This window comes from Homo sapiens, chromosome 4 (assembly GCF_000001405.40).
Source record: "Homo sapiens chromosome 4, GRCh38.p14 Primary Assembly".
NCBI lineage: Eukaryota > Metazoa > Chordata > Mammalia > Primates > Hominidae > Homo > Homo sapiens.
The window spans coordinates 83,022,152-83,042,427 of record NC_000004.12 but is presented as its reverse complement, the minus strand read 5'-3'; the positions used below and the strand labels follow the sequence as shown (position 1 = coordinate 83,042,427).

At 43.0% G+C, this 20,276-nt stretch overlaps 1 protein-coding gene across 3 annotated transcripts in view, besides 9 other annotated features; it reads right to left on the bottom strand.

Annotated features, from left to right (window-relative positions):
• COPS4 (COP9 signalosome subunit 4) overlaps positions 1-7,245 on the bottom strand; it is a 40,636-nt gene extending 33,391 nt beyond the window's left edge. For all 3 annotated transcript variants that reach the window (NM_001330727.2, NM_016129.3, NM_001258006.2), the window contains exon 1: positions 7,130-7,245. In NM_001330727.2, the coding sequence (NP_001317656.1) occupies positions 7,130-7,203 (74 nt within the window). In that variant the 5' untranslated portion in view covers positions 7,204-7,245. The remainder of the gene's footprint in view (positions 1-7,129) is intronic.
• Positions 6,357-6,862: an enhancer, noted in NCBI's record as "H3K27ac hESC enhancer chr4:83956719-83957224 (GRCh37/hg19 assembly coordinates)". NCBI's record gives its function as "activates a minimal SCP1, AML or CMV promoter by ChIP-STARR-seq in naive H9 embryonic stem cells {active_cell/tissue: H9 hESC(naive)}" and the evidence as "EXISTENCE:reporter gene assay evidence [ECO:0000049][PMID:30033119]".
• Positions 6,756-6,815: an enhancer, noted in NCBI's record as "active region_21675". NCBI's record gives its function as "activates an Ori minimal core promoter by ATAC-STARR-seq in GM12878 lymphoblastoid cells {active_cell/tissue: GM12878}" and the evidence as "EXISTENCE:reporter gene assay evidence [ECO:0000049][PMID:35858748]".
• Positions 6,876-6,935: an enhancer, noted in NCBI's record as "active region_21674". NCBI's record gives its function as "activates an Ori minimal core promoter by ATAC-STARR-seq in GM12878 lymphoblastoid cells {active_cell/tissue: GM12878}" and the evidence as "EXISTENCE:reporter gene assay evidence [ECO:0000049][PMID:35858748]".
• Positions 6,976-7,025: an enhancer, noted in NCBI's record as "active region_21673". NCBI's record gives its function as "activates an Ori minimal core promoter by ATAC-STARR-seq in GM12878 lymphoblastoid cells {active_cell/tissue: GM12878}" and the evidence as "EXISTENCE:reporter gene assay evidence [ECO:0000049][PMID:35858748]".
• Positions 7,126-7,475: an enhancer, noted in NCBI's record as "active region_21672". NCBI's record gives its function as "activates an Ori minimal core promoter by ATAC-STARR-seq in GM12878 lymphoblastoid cells {active_cell/tissue: GM12878}" and the evidence as "EXISTENCE:reporter gene assay evidence [ECO:0000049][PMID:35858748]".
• Positions 7,126-7,532: a biological region, named in NCBI's record as "Sharpr-MPRA regulatory region 7954".
• Positions 7,238-7,532: an enhancer, noted in NCBI's record as "tiled region #7954; HepG2 Activating DNase unmatched - State 1:Tss, and K562 Activating DNase unmatched - State 1:Tss". NCBI's record gives its function as "activates a minimal TATA promoter and a strong SV40 promoter by Sharpr-MPRA in HepG2 and K562 cells {active_cell/tissue: HepG2 | K562}" and the evidence as "EXISTENCE:reporter gene assay evidence [ECO:0000049][PMID:27701403]".
• Positions 7,606-7,725: an enhancer, noted in NCBI's record as "active region_21671". NCBI's record gives its function as "activates an Ori minimal core promoter by ATAC-STARR-seq in GM12878 lymphoblastoid cells {active_cell/tissue: GM12878}" and the evidence as "EXISTENCE:reporter gene assay evidence [ECO:0000049][PMID:35858748]".
• Positions 16,539-16,648: an enhancer, noted in NCBI's record as "active region_21670". NCBI's record gives its function as "activates an Ori minimal core promoter by ATAC-STARR-seq in GM12878 lymphoblastoid cells {active_cell/tissue: GM12878}" and the evidence as "EXISTENCE:reporter gene assay evidence [ECO:0000049][PMID:35858748]".

The following is a 20,276-nucleotide window of genomic DNA, read 5'->3' as shown; positions in this document are numbered from 1 at the left end:
AGAGATTACTTTTTCAGAATAACATAAAATGACTAACAAACCTGTTTTAAACCAGGAACTTAAACAGAAATTTAATACTGCCATATAAAATCACCCCAAGGTGTTAATTGAGTCCTTAGGCATTTTAAGATGCTATATGAGATTCTGTGTATGATACTAAAAAGTTTTTAAATGACCTTTGTATTTGAAGATCATATGGCTGAGAAGACAAAGGGGAAGATTAAAAATAAAAAGTTAATATGTCAAGTGTTAAATTACAATATGGTCAGGTGCGGTGGCTCACGCCTGTAATCCCAGCACTTTGGGAGGCTGAGGTGGGCCAATCACTTGAGGTCAAGAGTTCGAGACCAGCCTGGCCAACATGGTGAAACCTCATCTCTACTAAAAATACAAAAATTAGCCAGGTGTGGTGGCACGTGCCTGTAATCTCAGCTACTCGGGAGGCTGAGGCACGAGAATCACTTGAACCTGGGAGGCAGAGGTTGCAGTGAGCTGAGATCCCGCTGCTGCACTTCAGCCTGGGTGACAGAGCGAAATTCTATCTCAAAAAAAAAAAAAAGTATTAAATTACAATAATACAAAAACAAAAGTTATGATAAAACTGAACAATATAAGCAATATGATAAATGAAGAGGTAATATATTAACTCAAAAGAGAGTAAGGCCAGGTGAAGTGGCTCACACCTGCAATCCCAGCACTTTGGGAGGCCAAGGAAGACGATCGCTTGAGGCCAGGAGTTCAAGACCAGCCTGGCCAACACGGAGAAACCCCATCTCTACTAAAAATACAAAAATTAGCCGAGTGTGATGGTGCACAACTGTAAGTCCCAGCTACACGGGAGGCTGAGGCAGGAAAATCACTTGAACCCAGGAGGTGGAGGCTGCAGTGAGCCACTGTACTCCAGCCTGTGACAGAGTGAGAGTAAAACAAAAATGGACTAGATTTGTCAAATAAGGCTTCGTAGATAATAATAGCTTTTTATATGAGTACTCAGTATACAAAGAGAAATGTGACTGATATGGAGAATGTGACAAGTGCCAAATATTTTCTTCCTTAAAAAAATTTGGCCGGGCGCAGTGGCTCACGCCTGTAATCTCAGCACTTTGGGAGGCTGAGGTGGGCGGATCACCTGAGGTCAGGAGTTCAAGACCAGCCTGCCCAACATGGTGAAACTCTGTCTCTACTAAAAACACAAAAATTAGCCGGGCGTGGTGGCGTGTGCCTGTAGTCCCAGCTACTCAGGAGGCTGAGCCAGAAGAATCGCTTGAACCCGGGAGGTGGAGATTGCAGTAAGCCAAGATCATGCCACTGCACTCCAGCCTGGGCGACAGAGTGAGATTCCATCTCAAAAAAAAAAAACAAAAAACAAAAAAAAAAAACTTATGGAGGAAAATAAGTTTTATTACTAAGGCATCATACATCTCTCCTATCCATTTATCATCAGTGAATTGAGCATCTTTAATGTATATGAACCAAATTCAGTATGTTGATTCTTAATTTCTTGGCACTTGAAAGGAATCTGGAGATAAATAAAGCATGAAAATGTACCACAGTCATCATTTAAGATCACAATGGGTGGTAAAGGTAGGTATTAACAGATCTTCCACTTACAGTAATGGTGAACTAAACGACTGGACCAACCCTCCCTCAAAAAAAAAAAAAAAAAAGCCAACATAAAAAGCTGAAAGAAATGAAAAAAAAAATGTAATTGCATAAAATCCTAACAAGAAAGGTAAAATGAGGAAAATAAGATAAACCATATATTCTGTCTAAAGGCATTTGCTGACTGTGGAAAGATGGCTGAGAGGTAGAGTGGCACTTCTTGTAGGGAGGAGAAGGTGGGCTCACTGCGAATCTGCTGGAAGCACTGAGAAGCAAGCTGCCATTTCTGGCAGACTAATAGAGCTGCACAAATGGGAATGGAAGTTCCATATTCTGCCAAAGGAGGAGACACACACTTTGGAAGTAAGGTTACAAATTCTATCCCAAGACCACCCAGGTAAACCAAAAAAATTCTGAAGCCTTGATTATACACTGTTAGCACCCTCAGGTAATGAAATTTCTCTCTAGAATCAACAAAAGCAACAGACAATCGCAACAACCAAAACGTCAAATACTGACTGGAGTTATCAGAAAGAGCATGATACAATTATGCTTACAATGTTCATGGGGATAAAGACAAGCTTTAAAGTTTCAGCAACAGACCAGGAGCCATAAAAAGTATCATTGGAAAAAAGAACCACCAGAAATTACAGAGCTAAAAAATACAACCCAACTTAGAAACTCAATGGAGTACTTAACGGCAGATTAAACACAGTTGAAGAAGTGATAAACTAGAAGGTAGGCCTGAAGAACTAATCCAGAATAAAGCATTGAAATGGAAAAGACAGAGTAAGAGGCCTAGAGGTTATAGTCAGTGGGCCTGACAGGGATTTCACCGGAGCCTAGAGGAGAAACAGAATGGGGCAGAGGCAACATTTAAAGAGATACAGGCCAAGCACAGTAGCCCACACCTGTAATCCCAACACTTTTGTAGGCCGAGGCAGGAGAATCCCTTGAGCCCAGGAGTTCGAGACCTGCCTGGGCAACATAGGGAGACCCCATCTGTACCAAAAAAAATGTTTTTAAATTAGCCAGGCATGGTGTCACGTGCCTATAGTCCCAGCTACTCAGGAGGCTAAGGCGAGAAGATTGCTTGAGCCAAGCATGTTAAGGCTGTAGTAAGCCATGATCTCTCTACTGCACTCAAGCCAGGGCAACAGAGCAAGACCCTGTCTCTAAAATAAAATAAAGAGATATAACTGAAGACATCTCAAGACTGATGAAATGATTTAATCCATTGATTCAGGAAACCCAGTGAAGCTTAACCAGGATAATGTGACAGAGTGCTTACAAAAAACGGCCACAATATAATTTCACTCCCAGTACCCATGTCCCTTTACAATACAACTTTGTAGCTCTTCATATCAAAAGGTAGAGTTTATTTCCCTACCCCTTGAATCTGGGGTTAACCAATAAAACGTGGTAGAAATGAAGTGCTAGTTCTGAGCCCAGACCTCGAGAGGCCTTGTATGTGTTTGTCTTTTGGAACCCTGCTGCTGTCACATGAACAGGCTCAGACTAACATACTGGCTAATGAGATATGTAGCCCAGTCAACTATATTGCCCCAGCCAACAAGCCAGCCAATCCACAGAAGCAGAGCTGCCTACCTGGCCTGGCTGGCAGCTAACTATAGACCCACATGGGAGCCCATGTGGAACCAAGACCACGTGGAGCAGAAAAGAACCATACAGCTGGGCCCAATCCAAACTACCAACCTACAGAATTATAAGCTAAATAAGTGACTGTTGTTTTAAGCCCTAAGTTTTGGGGTTTATTTCACAGCAAAGGGTAACTGACATAGAAAAGTAAAAACAAATCCACAGACATATCATAATGAAGCTACACAAAATTAAAGACAAAATCTTAAAAACAGGTAAGTGCTGGCCAGGCGCGGTGGCTCACGCCTGTAATCCCAGCACTTTGGGAGGCCAAGGCAGGTGGATCACAAGGTCAAAAGATCGAGACCATCCTGGCCAACATGGTGAAACCCTGTCTCTACTAAAAATACAAAAAAAAGTAGTCGGGTGTGGTGGCATGCACCTGTAGTCCCAGCTACTTGGGAGGCTGAGGCAGAAGAATCGGTTGAACCCGGGAGGCAGAGGTTGCAGTGAGCCGAGATCGCGCCACTGCACTCCAGCCTAGGCAACAAGAGTGAAACTCCATCTCAAAACAAAACAAAACAAACAAACAAACAAAAAAAACAGGTAAGTGCTAATATAATTTTTAGGAGAGAGAAATCATTGGATGGGGTTGATCTTTAAACATTCTAAGTATTTCAATTTAATAACAGTAGGAAGACAGGCATTCTAGGCAAAAATAATCACTATCTGAAGTGTAGTCAATTTTTTTTTGTGAAAATAAGGCCAAAAAGGTAGATGTGTTTGTTTAGAGTTAAGGGCTCATAGGCAAGCAGATATGGACTGTCTTCTAGCTTCACCACTAGCTGTGTGACCTCAGAGCAAGGTATTTCAACTCTGTACTTTGGTTTTCTCTTATTATAATGTAAATAATATCACTACTATCACCTACTCCTACTTGTTAAGGATTTTTAAATGTAAGTAATGTTGTGCTTCGCACAGTAAACTCTAGATGTTATTGACTTTCACTCTAGAGATGAAAACCACTAAAACTGTTGTGTTTGGGACAACAAAGAGAGAATCAGAATCTGAGTTAGAAGGGGCCTTTGAGGCTATCCTCAATAAAGTCTATCCTCCGTTGTGGCTCTCCTATTCTAAAGCTTTATGTGAGATAATAAATACAATGCATAATATGCACAAAAGCAGCCTATAAAATGGAGGAAATGCTTTTCCTCTGGCTAATTTCTTATATAAACTTTAGACAGCTGTGTTAATTCACAGTTATGGGAAAGCATTTCTAACTGAGTTTTTAACAAGAAAACGAGCATAGTCTGGTAGGTTTAAAATGAGCTTTTTAGAGTAGATGAACCTGGATTCAAATACAAGCACTGCCCCTTTCTAGCTATTCATTAATTCAACCACGTTTATTGAACAACTACTGTTACAGATATCCCAATTGCTAGGAACACACAGTATTGATGTTTTAGAAACAATGTATTCCATTATTCTTTAATATGGAATCCTTTGTTACTCAGCTCCTAAAAAAAACACCCAAAAACCTTCATTAAAAGTACATACAAGAAAAAATACATTAAAAAAAAACACACTGATATATTTCAAGGGTATTTCTCTTAAAGCATATAGCTGGTAGAACTGATGTTGTTGTAAGGATAAATATCCTGCTACATTCTTGCCCACATAGGAAATGCAGGCAAGGCCAAGACTTTTCTCAGAAAGCAGCTCTGAAGGAGTTATGGCTAAGACTGCACTGGCTATCAGTTATCAAGCACATTATTTCATTTAATCTTCACAATAACACCATGTGGTAGACTGCTACAGTAACGGCTTCCAATGAATCGTGTCTCCCTCTGTCCAGGCTCCTTTGCAATGTAACTTTGCCACTAAAGAGGTAGTAGTAAGCTCCATTTCCCCTCCCCTTGAATCTGGGCTGGTCTTCTGATTTACTTTGACCAGTACTAGAGAACTGACGTGAGACTTCCTAGGCTATCCTTAAGAGGTCTTGCGACTTCCCCTCTCATAGGCACCTAAGAAAGCCCAAGCTAAACTACTGAATGAGAGACTGTGCAGAGAGAGAGAGAGATCCAGGCAAGAGCAAGATATGCATGTGAGTCCCGCCCCAGGTGTGTTGCCAGCTGACTATATCTGCATGAGTGAGCCCAGACAAGACCAGCAAAGCAGTCCAGTCAACCCATAGAATCCTGAGAAATCATAGTTGTTTTACACTGGTTAAGTTTTTGGTTTGTTACAAAGCAACAGATAACTGAAGCACGCTTTAAGTACTATTGTTTATCTCCAATTCAGACCTGAAGAAGTAAATACTTAAGTTTCAGAATTCTGCAAATACTTGCAAAGCTCTATTTCTTTTGATAACTAATGCACTTATTCTTCTTTAACAAAATAAAAAGTAAAGGAAGCATGGGGAAAAATATAAGCTGATTTTACTTTCATCCATATAAAAATTACAAGCAGAAAGGATTGAGCCATGAAGACATATTTAACTTATTTCCAACCCATACAATAAGTGAATATATATTTACTGACAGCTTAATAGTAACAACAACAATCTTACCGCACTTTCTATATGTCAGGTACTGTTCTACGTGATATAAGTGTGGTAAGTATATATGCACACACATACTCATCTTGTCCTCAGATAATGTCAGACAAGAATAAGTCCTATTATTATCTTCATTTTCCTGAGTGGGAAAATGCAGCACAAAGTAGTTAAGCCCAAAATATACGGCTGAATTTCCCACTGATAAAAGTAGATTACGTTTGCCACCAGAGAAAAGGCAGCCTAGCCTACTTAAAACAGTCAGAATTTCAATGACCAGGTTAGAACAGGTGTATCCCATTAATATACATCAAAGTGATTTCAGCTGTCAGGATGTAAACATTAAGATCAACTTGAGAGGCATACTTTATTTACTTATTTATTTACGGAGACGGGTGGCGGCGGGGGGGGGGGTCTCACTATGTTGCCCAGGCTGGTCTAGAACTCCTGCCCTCAAGTGATCCTCCCTCTCAGATCTCTCAGGCCTCAAGTGATCTCAGCCTCTCAAAGTGCTGGGATTACAGGCGTGAGCCACTGCACCCGGCCTAGAGAGGCATACTTTAAACAGAAAGCATGTTCATTACAAAAGAGAAATGCTGTGACATCTACAAAGAGAAAATGAACAATATACGTCTACCTACCTATGCTTAATACTGTTGACAACTGCTTGCAGAACAGGCACGTCACACATTTTAACTTGGAGTGAACCTAAGCATTCTATATAAATTTCGACAAAATTCAGATTCCTGCAAACATCACTACTGTAGACATCCTGACCCACGATATGAGCACATTCCGCCTATGTGCCATCAGAGTTGGTGGCAGAGAAAATACCCGAAACACAAGGACCCACAGAAGACAGTCTGAATGGTCTGGACGACATGACAGCGGCCATACCGCCTCAACCTCAGCCAGCCCCAAGAAGCCATCTCCCCGAAAAACGCAGCATCAAGGCCCCAGAATATACATTTCTCTGAATCAAAAAAAAAGAGGAGGAAGGTCCAAAGAGAGGCCAGATTCGGTGTGAGGCCGGCCAGCGATGGGAAGAGGTACCAGGGAAGGCTACTAAGGCCAGGGTAGCAGTCGTCTCTCAGACCGCTGTTCCAAAATCCTAAGGGACCAGAAAGATTCTATCAAGAACTGAACAAGCTGACAATCATTTCAAGTCTATAGCCTCGAAGGCCCCTGCACAAGGTCCCCTCCAGCTTTCTGCTTCTCCCAACATTTGCCTCCCCAGCCGACCTCAGGCCCGCCCCCTTGGACGTCAGGCCGGCTCCTAGCTTCACGCCCAAGAGCCGTGGCCAACCTAAGGAGATTAAGGCTGTGGCTTTCTTTCCCCACCTCTGTACTCCCGCGTTCCTGGGAAATACTCACTTGCCAGCCAGATCTTTATGAGAGCCGCTCGAATTCATGAGCTGGGCCAAATCCTGTCGCACGGCTGCCGCCATCTTTCTCCCAGCTCAGCGGTGGATGCGGGGGCCTCTGGCAGCCAAAAAGAAAACGAGTGTGGTCCTCCAGAGTGCAGCCAGAGGGAACCTGAGATGCTACAGAGTAGCGTCTGTGTGGGCCAGAGCGTCGGGTGTGGGAGCCTGGGCTAGCTCCGCCCCCAGGGTTGAGTGATGCGGAGCTCCACTCCTCAGGTCTGAGGCCTGCCCAGGTCTCTCCTACAGGCTCTGGCTCTCACGCTTGGACTTTGGATTGGCTGATGAACTCCAGTAGTGAGTCTCTGGTGTAACTCCAATGAGTAGCCGGTACATAAAACGACTGCGTTTTCGCAAAGTTCCGTTTCTCACGTCTGTGGTTTACCGTCCTTCGATCTTTCAGGCAGCGCTTAAACTGCCTGTGGTAAAGAATGAGTTTTGTTTCCGATTCACCACAGAAGATACTTTTTAGAAATACAATTAAAATGTCCCTATTCCTCCTCCCACTCCGTGCACTTTATAATGGTTGGTCAGACATTCCAGTTTGTCCAGTACAAAGCGATTTTCCCTCTGTCGTCCTGGAGTAATGATTAATATCCCCCCTTTCGGCCGGGCGCGGTGGCTCACGCCTGTAATCCCAGCACTTTGGGCAGCCGAGGCGGGCGGATCACGAGGTCAAGAGATCGAGGCCATCCTGGCTAACACGGTGAAACCCCGTTCTCTACTAAAAATACAAAAAAATTAGCCGGGCGTAGGTGGTGCACCCCTGTAGTCCCAGCAACTCGGGAGGCTGAGGCAGGAGAATGGCGTGAACCCGGGAGGCGGAGTTTGCAGTGAGCCGAGATCGCGCCACTGCACTCCAGCCTGGGAGACACAGCGAGACTCGGTCTCAAAAAATAATAATAATAATAATAACATCCTCCCTTTCATTCTAGAAACCGTTCCATTTCAATGGAAGATTATATGGTCGCCTGCGTTTGTATAACATTCAATACTCATGTATTCTTATAGAATTTCTGCAAATACAAGCAAATATTAATAAAATAAAATTTTACCTCTCACAAGCAACACCACATAATTGTTCTGCCTTGGTTTTTTTTTTTTGCACTTTTCCTGGTACTGTGGTTTGAAATAATTGTCTTCTCCAAAACTCATGTTGAGGGCTGGCGCCGTGGCTCACGTCTGTAATCCCAGCACTTTGGGAGGCCGAGGTGGACGGATCACCTGAGGTCGGGAGTTCGAGACCAGCCTGACCAACATGGAGAAACCCCGTCTCAACTAAAAATACAAAAATTAGCTGGGTGTGGTGGCACGTGCCTGTAATCTCAGCTACTCGGGAGGCTGAGGCACGAGAATCACTTGAAGCTGGAAGGCGAAGGTTACGGTGAGCCAAGATTGCACCACTGCACTCCAGCCTGGGCAACAAGAGGGAAATTCCGTCTCAAAAAAAAAAAAAAAAACAAACAACTCATGTTGAAACTTCATCTTTAATGTGGCAGTATTTAGAGGTGGGCCTTAAATAGGTGATTGGATCATGAGGGCAAAACCCTTGATCTATTCATGGATTAATGGGTTGTCATGGGAGAGAACATGTGGCTTTATTAGAAGAGGAAGAGACCTGAGCTAGCATGTTAGGAAGGTCACTCCCTTGCCATGTGATACCCTGTGCTGCTTCTGAACTCTAGCAAGTCCCCACCAGCAAGAAGGGTCTCATTAGATGTGGCCCCTTGACCTTAGACTTCTTGGCCTTCATAACTCTAAGATATAAATTCCTTTTCTTTATAAATTACCCAGTTTCAGGTATTCTGGTATAAGCAACAGAAAACAGACTAAGACAGCTGGACATCTTACCAGCTGTCCAGTCTTTCAAAATCACTCTTTTTGGAGCTAGAGGATATTACACAGTGAGAGTATGCCTTAGTTTATTTAATCCTTATAGGACATGTTATTTTTAATCAATGCGATGAATAACCTTTGCATACATTATATATGTACAGGTAGAACACATTACCAGAAATGAGGCAAAGGATAGACATACAATTTTGGTAGATATTGCCAAATTGCATTTTATAGGAATGGTATCATTTTGCCTTCCTACCAGAAATATATAGGGGTGCAGCTTCCTACAGCCTTGACTACAAAGGATGTCAAACTTTTGGATTTTTGCCATCTTGATGTGTGATAAATGGCATATTCCCTCTATTGGGAAAGAGAAAGAGAAGAATACCTGAAGAAGGAATCCCTTTTAAGAATGTGTATTAGTCTGTTCTCAGCCAGGCGTGGTGGCTCATGCCTGTAATACCACCACTTTAGGAGGCCAAGGCAGGTGGATCACCTGAGGTCAGGAGTTCGAGACCAGCCTGCTCAACATGGTGAAACTCTTTCTCTACTAAAAACACAAAAAATTAACCAGGCGTGGTGGCGGGTGCCTGTAGTCCCAGCTACTTAGGAGGCTGAGGCAGGAAAATCGATTGAACACAGGAGGCGGAGGCTGCAGTGAGCTGAGATCGTGCCACTGCACTCCAGCCTGGGTGGCAGAGTGAAATCTCAAAAATAAAATAAATAAAAAAAGAATGTATATTAGTCTGTTCTCACACTGCTATAAAGAACTACCTGAAACTGGGCAATTTGTAAAGAAAAGAGATTTAGGCCGGGCATGGTGGCTCACGCCTGTAATCCCAGCACTCTGGGAGGCCGAGGCGGGTGGATCACGAGGTCAGGAGATCGAGACCGTCCTGGCTAACACGATGAAACCCCGTCTCTACTAAAAATACAAAAAAATTAGCCAGGCGTGGTGGCGGGCGCCTGTAGTCCCAGCTACTCGGGAGGCTGAGGCAGGAGAATGGCGTGAACCCGGGAGGCGGAGCTTGCAGTGAGCCGACATCGTGCCACCGCACTCCAGCCTGGGCGACAGAGCGAGACTCCGTCTCAAAAAAAAAAAGAAAAGAGATTTAAATGACTCATAGTTCCACAGCCTTACAGGAGGCATGACTGGGGAAGCCTGAGAAAACTTACAATCATGGTGGAAGGGCAAAGGGGAAGAAAGTATGTCATCACATGAAGGCAGGAGAGAGAGAGAACACAAAGCGGGAGGTGCTACAGACTTTCAAACAACCACATCTCATGAGATCTCATTCACTATCACCAGAACACAAGAGGGAAATCTGCCGCCATGATCCAATCACCTCCTACCAGGTCCCTTCCCCAACACTGGGGATTACAATTCAACATGAGATTTGAGTTGGGGTACAGAGCCAAACCATATCAGAAAGTTAGGAGATTGCCCACATCAATTCGGATCATGTTCCATTGGCAAGAACTTAATCATATGACCACCAATGAGACTAGAAATTTAATTTCCAGTTGGGCAGCCTTGTGCCCAGAAATAGGAAAGAATGAGTTTAGAGGGACAATCAGCAGTCTCTACTACAATATGTCCCTCTGACCACCTGAATATCCACATGTCCTTTGATGGTAATTTTAGGTATCAACTTGATTGGATTAAGGAATACCAAGAAAACTAACTGTTACAGCATTATATTAGTGTGTGTCTGTGAGGGTGTTTCCAGAGGAGATTGGCATGTGAGTCTGAGTGGACTAAGTGAAGAAGATCTGCCCTTAGTGTGGGCAGGCACCATCCAGTTAGCTGGGCCCAGACAAAACAAAAACAGAGAAAAGGTGAATTGGTCTCTCTCTCCTGAAGCTGAGAAACACACTTCTTCTCCTGGCCTTGGACATCAGGCTCTCCGACCTTTGGACTCCAGGACTCACACCAGCAGCGCCCTGGGTTCTCAAGCTTTCGGACTTGGATTAAGCCATGCTGCCAGAATCCCAGGGTCTCTGACTTGCAGACTGCTTGATGTGGGACTTCTCAGCCCCCACAATCACATATCACAAGATCCAATTCCCCTAATAATTCCCCTCTCATATCATTATTTATATATATATATATATCTCCTATTGGTTCTGTCTCTCTGGAGAACCCTGAATAATATAGCTTCTTCTCACAGTAGAGCCTCCTTCCTCCCTCCCTAGGGAAGAAAGCTCAATTTCCCATTCATTTTCTACATCAGCTAAAAATTCAGGATATCTGGTGATGCAGAAACCTATCACATTGGGATGTGGTGTTTCATGTTCCAGAGATGTATACACTGTAAAACAACTGATGTGTCCTATGCCCATACATCCAATAAAAACCAACAGTGGAGCAGAAACAGGCCAATCACAGTTAAAACTCAGACAAAGGAAGAATGGGAAACACAGCAGTTACTGGCCCGTAACAATGGCAGAATCCTGGGAAGGAAGTATGGATACTCACTGCCCTGATAATGGAATAAGTTCCTTGGTCAGTCCTTGGTTCTGCTGAGAGGATTTCTATTGTTTGTTGTATTGTGTGGGTGCAAGCTTTACCTTCTGAATACAAGTTAACTGGATGTTGAGTATATTTCCTTTTTGAGAATGCCTTAGTGCTTGAACACTTGAGGGCTTTTGTAGGCCAGGCTTTTTGGGTGTTTGCTTTTTTTTTTTTTAAATAATTCCATTGAATATTCAATAAGTTCTACGTGCTTCCAGACAGTTTCAGATGCCAGTAAACACACCCAAAGTTATTTCTCGAAGCAGTTATCAAACTTGCCTTAAATCCTAGCTTCTTTGCTCAACCTATTTTTAATGCCCTCTTTGTAATGGTGGCAGCTGTGAAATAATCTGAAACAGTAGGCTTAAATGAGAAGAGAACTCTATCCATTTGATTTGGCTTTAGCTTATTTTTATTTTCTGTTGTTTTTGTTTGTTTGGTTGGTTGGTTGTGTTTGCCAAGAAGTCTTAAAGGGCTATGAAAAATCTGTAAGCCAAGTCTTTTCTTCTGCTATTTCAAGATACATAAACAGTTGGCTTTTTCAACTTAGTGAAGGCTCAGAATTTCTGGACATTTCATTCCCTTCTTAACTTGACTTCACACTTGACTTGCAACACCTTACCCAAGGCAACAAAAAGCCACATACACAAGCTGGCCCTTTTCAGATACTTCCATTAGCCACAAGCTGGGGAAGATTTCCTGCTTTCCTAATTGTTGGAGGCAGCAATTTTACTAAATATTTTGACCTACAAAGGACTTCTCTTTCCAGACTGCTCATTCCCCTTGCCCTGACTCTAACAGAATATTACATATTTTTAGATTTTACTTACAACAGTGAAGAAAAGCAAACCTGGATGGCCCTGGAGGCTTATTCTCTCCTTTTCAGTTATTTAGCAAGAGGTTAGCAAGACACATCTTAATGAACTCAAGGGAACTGCACAAATCCTAGCTCTTCTTTTACCATGCAAAATCTTCAATTCTAGCCCAAACTAAATAGAAACCGTCATGTTAGCAAAATCCTAGTAATCCTTGCATGTTAAAGTTTGAGAAGATCTAGCAGATGTCAACACCATTGGTATTTGTCTTAGTCTGTTTTCTGCTGCTTATAACAGAATACCTGAAACTGGGTAACTTATAAAGAAAAGGAATTTATGTCTTACAGTTATGGAGGCTGAGAAGTCCAAGGTAAAGGAGCCATATCTGATCAGGGCCTCCTTGCTGATGTACAGGGCATCACAGGGTGAGGGGGCTAAGCATACTTGCTCTGGTCTCTCTTTCTCTTCTTATAAAGCCACCATTTCAACTCTCATGGGAACCCTTTAATCCATAAATCCATTAATTCATTAATGGATTAATCCATTCATGAAGGCAGACCCTTTACGATCCAGTCACCTCTTAAAGGTCCACCTCTCAATAATGTCACATTAGGGAATCACTTTCAACATGAGTTTTGAAGGGGATAAACATTCAAACAATAGCATTGTATAAATTACCCCCGCTAACAAGGCCGTTTCCTTGGCCAGGAATCTCCTGTTGTTGCAGTCTACTAGATGGTCTCTACCTTCTCACAGCTTCCCTACAAAGATAAAAAAGTTATCCAGAAGCCTCTTTCCTGACACATATTCTACTATACATCCACTGTGCCCAGCCCAAATATGCCTCACTACAGAAGGGAAAAGAGCATAAGTGATTGTCCATACAGTACTGTGCTGTTTTCTGCACGTGAATCCTTCCTCTATGCTTACTCCATGTGTTGCTAGTGCTGTGTGACAGTTGGTTTTACAGTCATCTGGTGTGTTTCCTGCCTAGATCTAGAATCGGTCATTTCTCCAAGAAGCCTTTTTCCTTTTAGTGGGGATGATAATTATAAATAACAGTCCAAGTGCTAAGAATGCTCGTTGCTACTATATCAGTCATTTGGAGACCTTTTTTGTAGGACAGAACTAGGAAATATGTATGTATTTTAAGGGTGAAGTGATTAATGAGGGCATACTGATAATTCCAATTTAGGTTGTTTTACTTAAACCTCTTCTATATTACATCTGTATCTCCTTATTTCCACACCCAGAATCCTGATTCACAGCACATAAGGAATATTACATAATTACTCATTTTATTCATCCACATTACACACACAACAGCCTCAGAATAATAATACTTATACTACCACCCCCAATACGATTACTGATAACAGTTAAATATTTTCCCACATTTCGTATTATAATAGCCATATTGTAAGCACATATAGCCATTACAAACTGTATTGTCTTCCTTTTTCTTATTTTTTGAGATAGGATCTCACTCTGTTGTCCCAACTGGAGTGCAGTGCCATGATCTCAGGTCACTGTAGCCTTGACCACCTGGGCTCAAGTGATCCTTCCACCTCAGCCTCCTGAGTAGCTGGGACTACAGGCATGCCTCACCCATCACCATGCCTGGCTAATTTTTCAACTTTTTGTAGAGACAGGGTTTCACCATGTTGCCCAGGCTGGTCTCGAACTCCTGAGCTCAAGCAATCCACCTGCCTTTCCTCCCAAAATGCTGGGATTACAGGTGTGAGCCATGGCACCTGGCCTTATTTTCTTCCTTTTAATCTTCATGTATTCTTTTTTTTTTTTTTTTTTTTTTGAGACGGAGTCTCACTCTGTCACCAGGCTGGAGTGCAGCGGCATGATCTCGGCTCACTGCAACCTCCACCTCCCAGGTTCAAGCAATTCTCCTGCCTCAGCCTCCTGAGTAGCCGGGACTACAGGCACGTGCCACCACACCCAGCTAGTTTTTGTATTTTTAGTAGAGACAGGGTTTCACCATGTTGGCTAGGATGGTCTCGATCTTGACCTCGTGATCTGCCCGCCTCGGCCTCCCAAAATGCTAGGATTACAGGCGTGAGCCACCGCGCCCAGCTAATCTTCATGTATTCTTAGGTCAGTAAGCACTACATATTGAATGTGCACCATCAGCTCTTTTATTGATATATCTCTAGTCTTTGGTTTTCTGTTAAAGAAGCTAGTTCTTTAATAGATTGTTCAGGCAGGACTCAGAATCCATATTCTTGCATGTTCTTGAGTATTGGTAACATCTTGTGCCTTTTATGTTTGTTATCAGTTTTGTTGGATATAATAAACTTTGATTCACTTTTCTTAAGAATCTTAAGTGTGGTTCTTCATTTTTTTTTTGGCATAAAGCATCAAAATATCTGATGAGAGTCTAATTTTCTATCTCTCAGTATTTTAAGAGACAGGGTCTTACTCTGTCACCCAGGCATTACCCCATTAATGTATTAATCCATTCATGAGGACAGACCCCTCATGATCTCAGTTACCTTTTAAAGGCCCACCTCTCAATAATGCCACATTGGGGGTTAGGTTTCAATATGAGTTTTGGAAAGGATAAACATTCAAATAATAGCATTATATGAGTGCAGTGGCATGATCATAGTCACTGCAGCCTTGAACTTCTGGGCTCAAGCAGTCCTCCCACCTCAGCCTTCCAAGTAGCTGGGACTACAGGCACACTGGCCACTATATCCAGCTAATTCTTTAAATTTTTTGTAAGAATAGGGTCTTGTTTTGTGCCCAGTCTGGGCTTGAACTCTTGGGCTCAAGCAATTCTCCCACCTTAGCCCCGCAAAGCGCTGGGATTATAGTCATGAGCTACTGCACTCTATTTTCTTTCTCTTATAAGTCACTTACTCTTTTTGCTTAGATGCCCCAAGCTTTTTTTCTCATGCCTGTAATCCCAGCATTTTGGGAGGCGGAGGCAGGCAGATTGTTTGATTTCAGGAGGTCGACACCAGCCTGGGCAATATGGCAAGACTCTGTCTCTACAAAAAAACACAAAAATTAGCCAGGCATGGTGGCATGCACCTGTAGTCCCAGCTACTCGGGAGACTGAGGTGGGAGGATAGCTTGAGCCCAGGAGGTTGAGGCTGCAGTGAGCTGTGATCATACCACTGCAGTCCAGCCTGGGCAACAGAGTGAGATTCTGTCTCTAAAAATGAAAAACAAAGATGTTGGAACTATCCAACAGGGAATTTAAGATAATTATGATACTGTGTTAAAGTTTCAATTAAAAATATAGGCCAGGGGCTGTGGCTCACACCAGTAATCCCAGCACTTTGGGAGGCCAAGGCAGGTGAATTGCTTGGGCTCAGGAGTTTGAGACCAACCTGGGAAACATGGCAAAACCCCATCTCTACAAAAAATACACACAAAAAATTTAGTCAGTGTAGTGGCATGTGCCTGTAGTCCCAGCTAGCAGCTGGGACTGGAAAGCTGAGGTGAGAGGACCCTCTTAGCCCAGAAAGTTTGAGGATGCAGTGAGCCATGATTGTGCCACTGTACTCCAGCCTGGGCAACAGAGTGAGACCATGTCTCAAAAAAAAAAAAAAGAAAGAAAATGTATACAGCATGAATGAACAGATGAGGAATTAAAACAGAGGGAAGAGGTCGGGCGCAGTGGCTCACGCTTGTAATCCCAGCACTTTGGGAGGCCGAGGTGGGCGGATCACAAGGTCAGGAGATCGAGACCACGGTGAAACCCCGTTTCTACTAAAAATAGAAAAAATTAACCAAGCGTGGTGGTGGGTGTCTGTAGTCCCAGCTGCTGGGAGGCTGAGGCAGGAGAATGGCATGAACCCGGGAGGCAGAGCTTGCAGTGAGCCGAGATCGCACCACTGCACTGGAGCCTGGGCAACAGAGCGAGACGCTGTCTCAAAAAAAAAAAAAAAAAAAAAAAAAAAAAAAAAAAAAAAGAGGGCAGAAATGAAAAGAAAATGTAAAAAGGAAATGCTAAAAATAAAAAGACTTGTTAACAGGGACAAAGAATGTCTTCAATGTGCTCATGAGTAGACTCAGCACAGCCAAAGAAAGAATCAGGGAACTTAAAAATAGGTCAATAGAAAGAGCCCAAACTAAAAGAACTAAAGTAAAAAAAAAAAAGAAAAGTGAGAGCAGATAGAGAAGGGATAGTGCTGTGGTTTAGATATCTGACCCCTTCAAACTTCATGTTGAAATTTGATCTCCATTGTTGAAGGCAGGGCCTAATGGGAACAGATCCTTCATGACTGGTGTGGTGGTGTCCTCATGGTAATGAGTGAGTTCTTGCTCTAGTAGTTCCCATTAGAGCTGGTTGTTAAAAAGAACCTGGCACCTCCCCCCTTCAGTCTCTTGTGTCTCCTCTTGCCATGTGATCTCTGCACATGCTAGCTTCCCTCCCCTTTCTTCCATCAGCAGAAGCAGCCTGAAGCCCTCACCAGGAGCAGATGCTGGTGCCATGCTTCTTATACAATCTGCAGAACTGTGAGCCAAATAAGCATTTTTTCTTTATAAATTACCCAGCCTTGGGTATTTCTTTTATTTTTTGAGATGGAGTCTTGCTCTGTCACCCAGGCTGGAGTGCAGTGGCACAATCTCAGCTCACTGCAAGCTCCGCCTCCCGGGTTCACACCATTCTCCTGCCTCAGCCTCCCAAGTAGCTGGGACTACAGGCACCTACCACCATGCCCAGCTAATTTTTTGTATTTTTAGTAGAGACAGGGTTTCACTGTGTTAGTCAGGATGGTCTTGATCTCCTGACCTCGTGATCCACCCACCTTGGCCTCCCAAAGTGCTGGGATTACAGGTGTGAGCCACCGTGCCTGGCTGGGTATTTCTTTATAGCGATACTAAGACAGACTAAGAAAGAATCTCCAAGAGCTGTGGAACAAAATGATTCAACATACGTATAATTGGAATCCAAGAAGGAAAAGAGAGAAAAAATGATGCAGAAAAAAAGATTTGAAGAGATAGTAGCAAATAATTATCCAAAAATTATGAAAGATATCAAACCACACATCCAGGAATCTCATAGAACCTCCAGAAGGATGAAACATATACACCCACATAGGCACATAATATTTAAATTGCTGAAAACCGAAGATAAAGAGAAAATCTTTTTTTTTTCTAAGAGATGGAGTCTCACTCTTCCTCCCAGATGAGGATACAGTGGCACCTTCTTAGCTCACTGCAGCCTCGAACACCTGGGTCCAAGCAATCTTCCTGCCTCAGCCTCCTGAGTAGCCAGGACTAACTACAGATGTGCACCACCACACCCAGTTAATTTTTTTTTTTTTTTTTGAGATGGAGTCTTGCCCTTTTCACCCAGGCTGCAGTGCAATGGCATGATCTCGTCTCACAGCAGCCTCTGCCTCCCAGGTCCAAGGGATTCTCCTGCCTCAGCCTCCTGAGTAGCTGAGATTACAGGTGCCCACCACCATGCCCATCTAATTTTTGTATTTTTAGTAGAGATGGGGTTTCACCATGTTGGCTAGGCTGGTCTCGGACTCCTGACCTCAAGTGATCCGCCCACCTCAGCCTCCCAAATTGCTGGGATTACAGGCATGAGTCACTGTGTCCAGCCAAAAAGAAAATCCTAAAGGCAGCCAGAAAAAAGAAAAAAAAAGGCACATTACTTACAGAGGAATTACAACAGACTTCTGGTCACAAATTATACACCTCAGAAGGTAATGGAGTGACATGCTAGCAGTGGAAGGGAAGGCTTCTGGACCTTACATTCTGATGGTTCTCCCTTGAGATGTCCCCTCCATTTGGGGATTATTCACTTAAACATTATTGCCCTCATAAACAGAAACTAATGGCCACACCTCTCTCATAACATTCTGACACACATGTAGACATTAACTTTTCCTTTAATTTACCTAAGCAGCAGTAAATAACAGTGTATTAGTCCATTTTCATACTGCTATAAAGAACTGCCTGAAACTGGGTTATTTATTTATTTTTAAATTTTACTTTAAGTTCTGGGATACATGTGCTGAACGTGCAGGTTGGTTACATAGGTATACATGTGCCATGGTGGTTTGCTGCACCTATCAACCCATCGTCTATGTTTTAAGCTCTACATGCATTAGGTATTTCTCCTAATGCTATCCTTCCCCTTGCCCCCCACATCACACAGTGATGTCCCCCTCCCTGTGTCCATGTGTTTTCATTGTTCAGCTCCCACTATGAGTGAGAACATGCAGTGTTTGCTTTTCTGTTTGTGAGTTAGTCTGCTGAGGATGATGGTTTCCAGCTTCATCCATTTCCTGCAAAGGACATGAACTCATTCTTTTTTATGGCTGCATAGTATTCCATGGTGTAAATGTGCCACATTTTATTTGTCCACTCTAACACTGATGGGCATTTGGGTTGGTTCCAACTCTTTGCTATTGTAAATAGTGCGGTAATAAACATATGTGTGCATGTGTCTTTATAGTAGAATGATTTATAATCCTATGGGTATATGCCCAGTAATGAGATTGCTGGGTCAAATGGTATTTCTGGTTCTAGATCCTTGAGGAATCACCACACTGTCTTCCACAATGTTTGAACTAATTTACACTCCCACCAACAGTGTAAAAGCATTCCTCTTGCTCTGCATCCTCACCACCATCTGTCGTTTCCAGACTTTTTAATGATCACCATTCTAACTGGCATGAGATGGTATCTCATTGTGGCTTTCATTTGTATTTCTCTAATGACTGAGACTGGGTTATTTATAAAGGAAAGAGGTTTCATTTATTCAGTTCAGCATGACTAGGGAGGCCTCAGGAAAATTACAATCATGGCAAAAGGCAAAGGGGAAGCAAAGCACCTACTTCACAAGGCGGCAGCAAGGAGAAATGCTGAGCAAAGGGGGAAGAGCCTCTTATGAAACCATCAGATCTCATAAGAACTCACTCACTGTCATGAGAACAGCATGGGGGAACTGCCCCCATGATTCAATTACCTCCACCTGGTCTCTCCCTTGACACGTGGGGATTATGGGGGTTACAATTCAAGATGAGATTTGGGTGGGGACACAAAGCCTAACCATATCAAACAGGATCATTCAGCAATGGTTAAGATTTTCCTCAGGGTTGGGGAAAGCAAAAGGAAATTACACATATATGATGTGGCTGACCCAGTGCTTCTAATGGTCTTTCCTCACCTCCCAGATGAATCATGACAGTCTATGCCAGAGACTGCAAACATTTTCTATAAAGGGCCAAATAAAAAATGTAGACTTTAGGCCACATGTGGTCTCTGTGACTGCTGCTTCTTTTTCTTCTACAATCCTTATAAAGTATAAAAATCAAAACCAAAAATGTTCTTAGCTTATGGGCTGGACAAAAATCTAAAATTTTTATTTAGACCACATATGGTCTCTTTAGTGCTGCAACAGCTGCAGCAGTTGCTGCGATTGCTTTTTCCTCTATAATCCTTTAAAAATGTAAAACACATACATTCTTAGCTTGCAGTCTGGACAAAAATAGGCAATGAGCTGGATTTGGCCTGTGGGCCTTCCTTTGCTGACCCCTGCTCTAGGCCACTTTTTCTGGCTAGTGAATGGTTTGAGAACAAGTATATGGTCCAGGTTTGACCAGCACATCATGATGGAAAGCCTTCTGGGGAACAGGTTTAACTTGCTTATGGGAAGAAGCACATGGGATGAATACTCTTCCTCTGAGGCTGATATCTGTGTATTGTGTGTAGTATTTTTTCTTTCTTTTTTTGAGACAGAGTTTGCTTTGTTGCCCAGGCTGGAGTGCAATGGTACAACCTCGGCTCACTGCAACCTCTGCCTCTCAGGTTCAAGCAATTCTCCTGCCTCAGTCTCCTGAGTAGCTGGGATTACAGGTGACCGCCACCATGCCCTGTTGATTTTTTGCATTTTAGTAGAGATGGGGTTTCACCATGTTGCCCAGGCTGGTCTCAGACTCTTG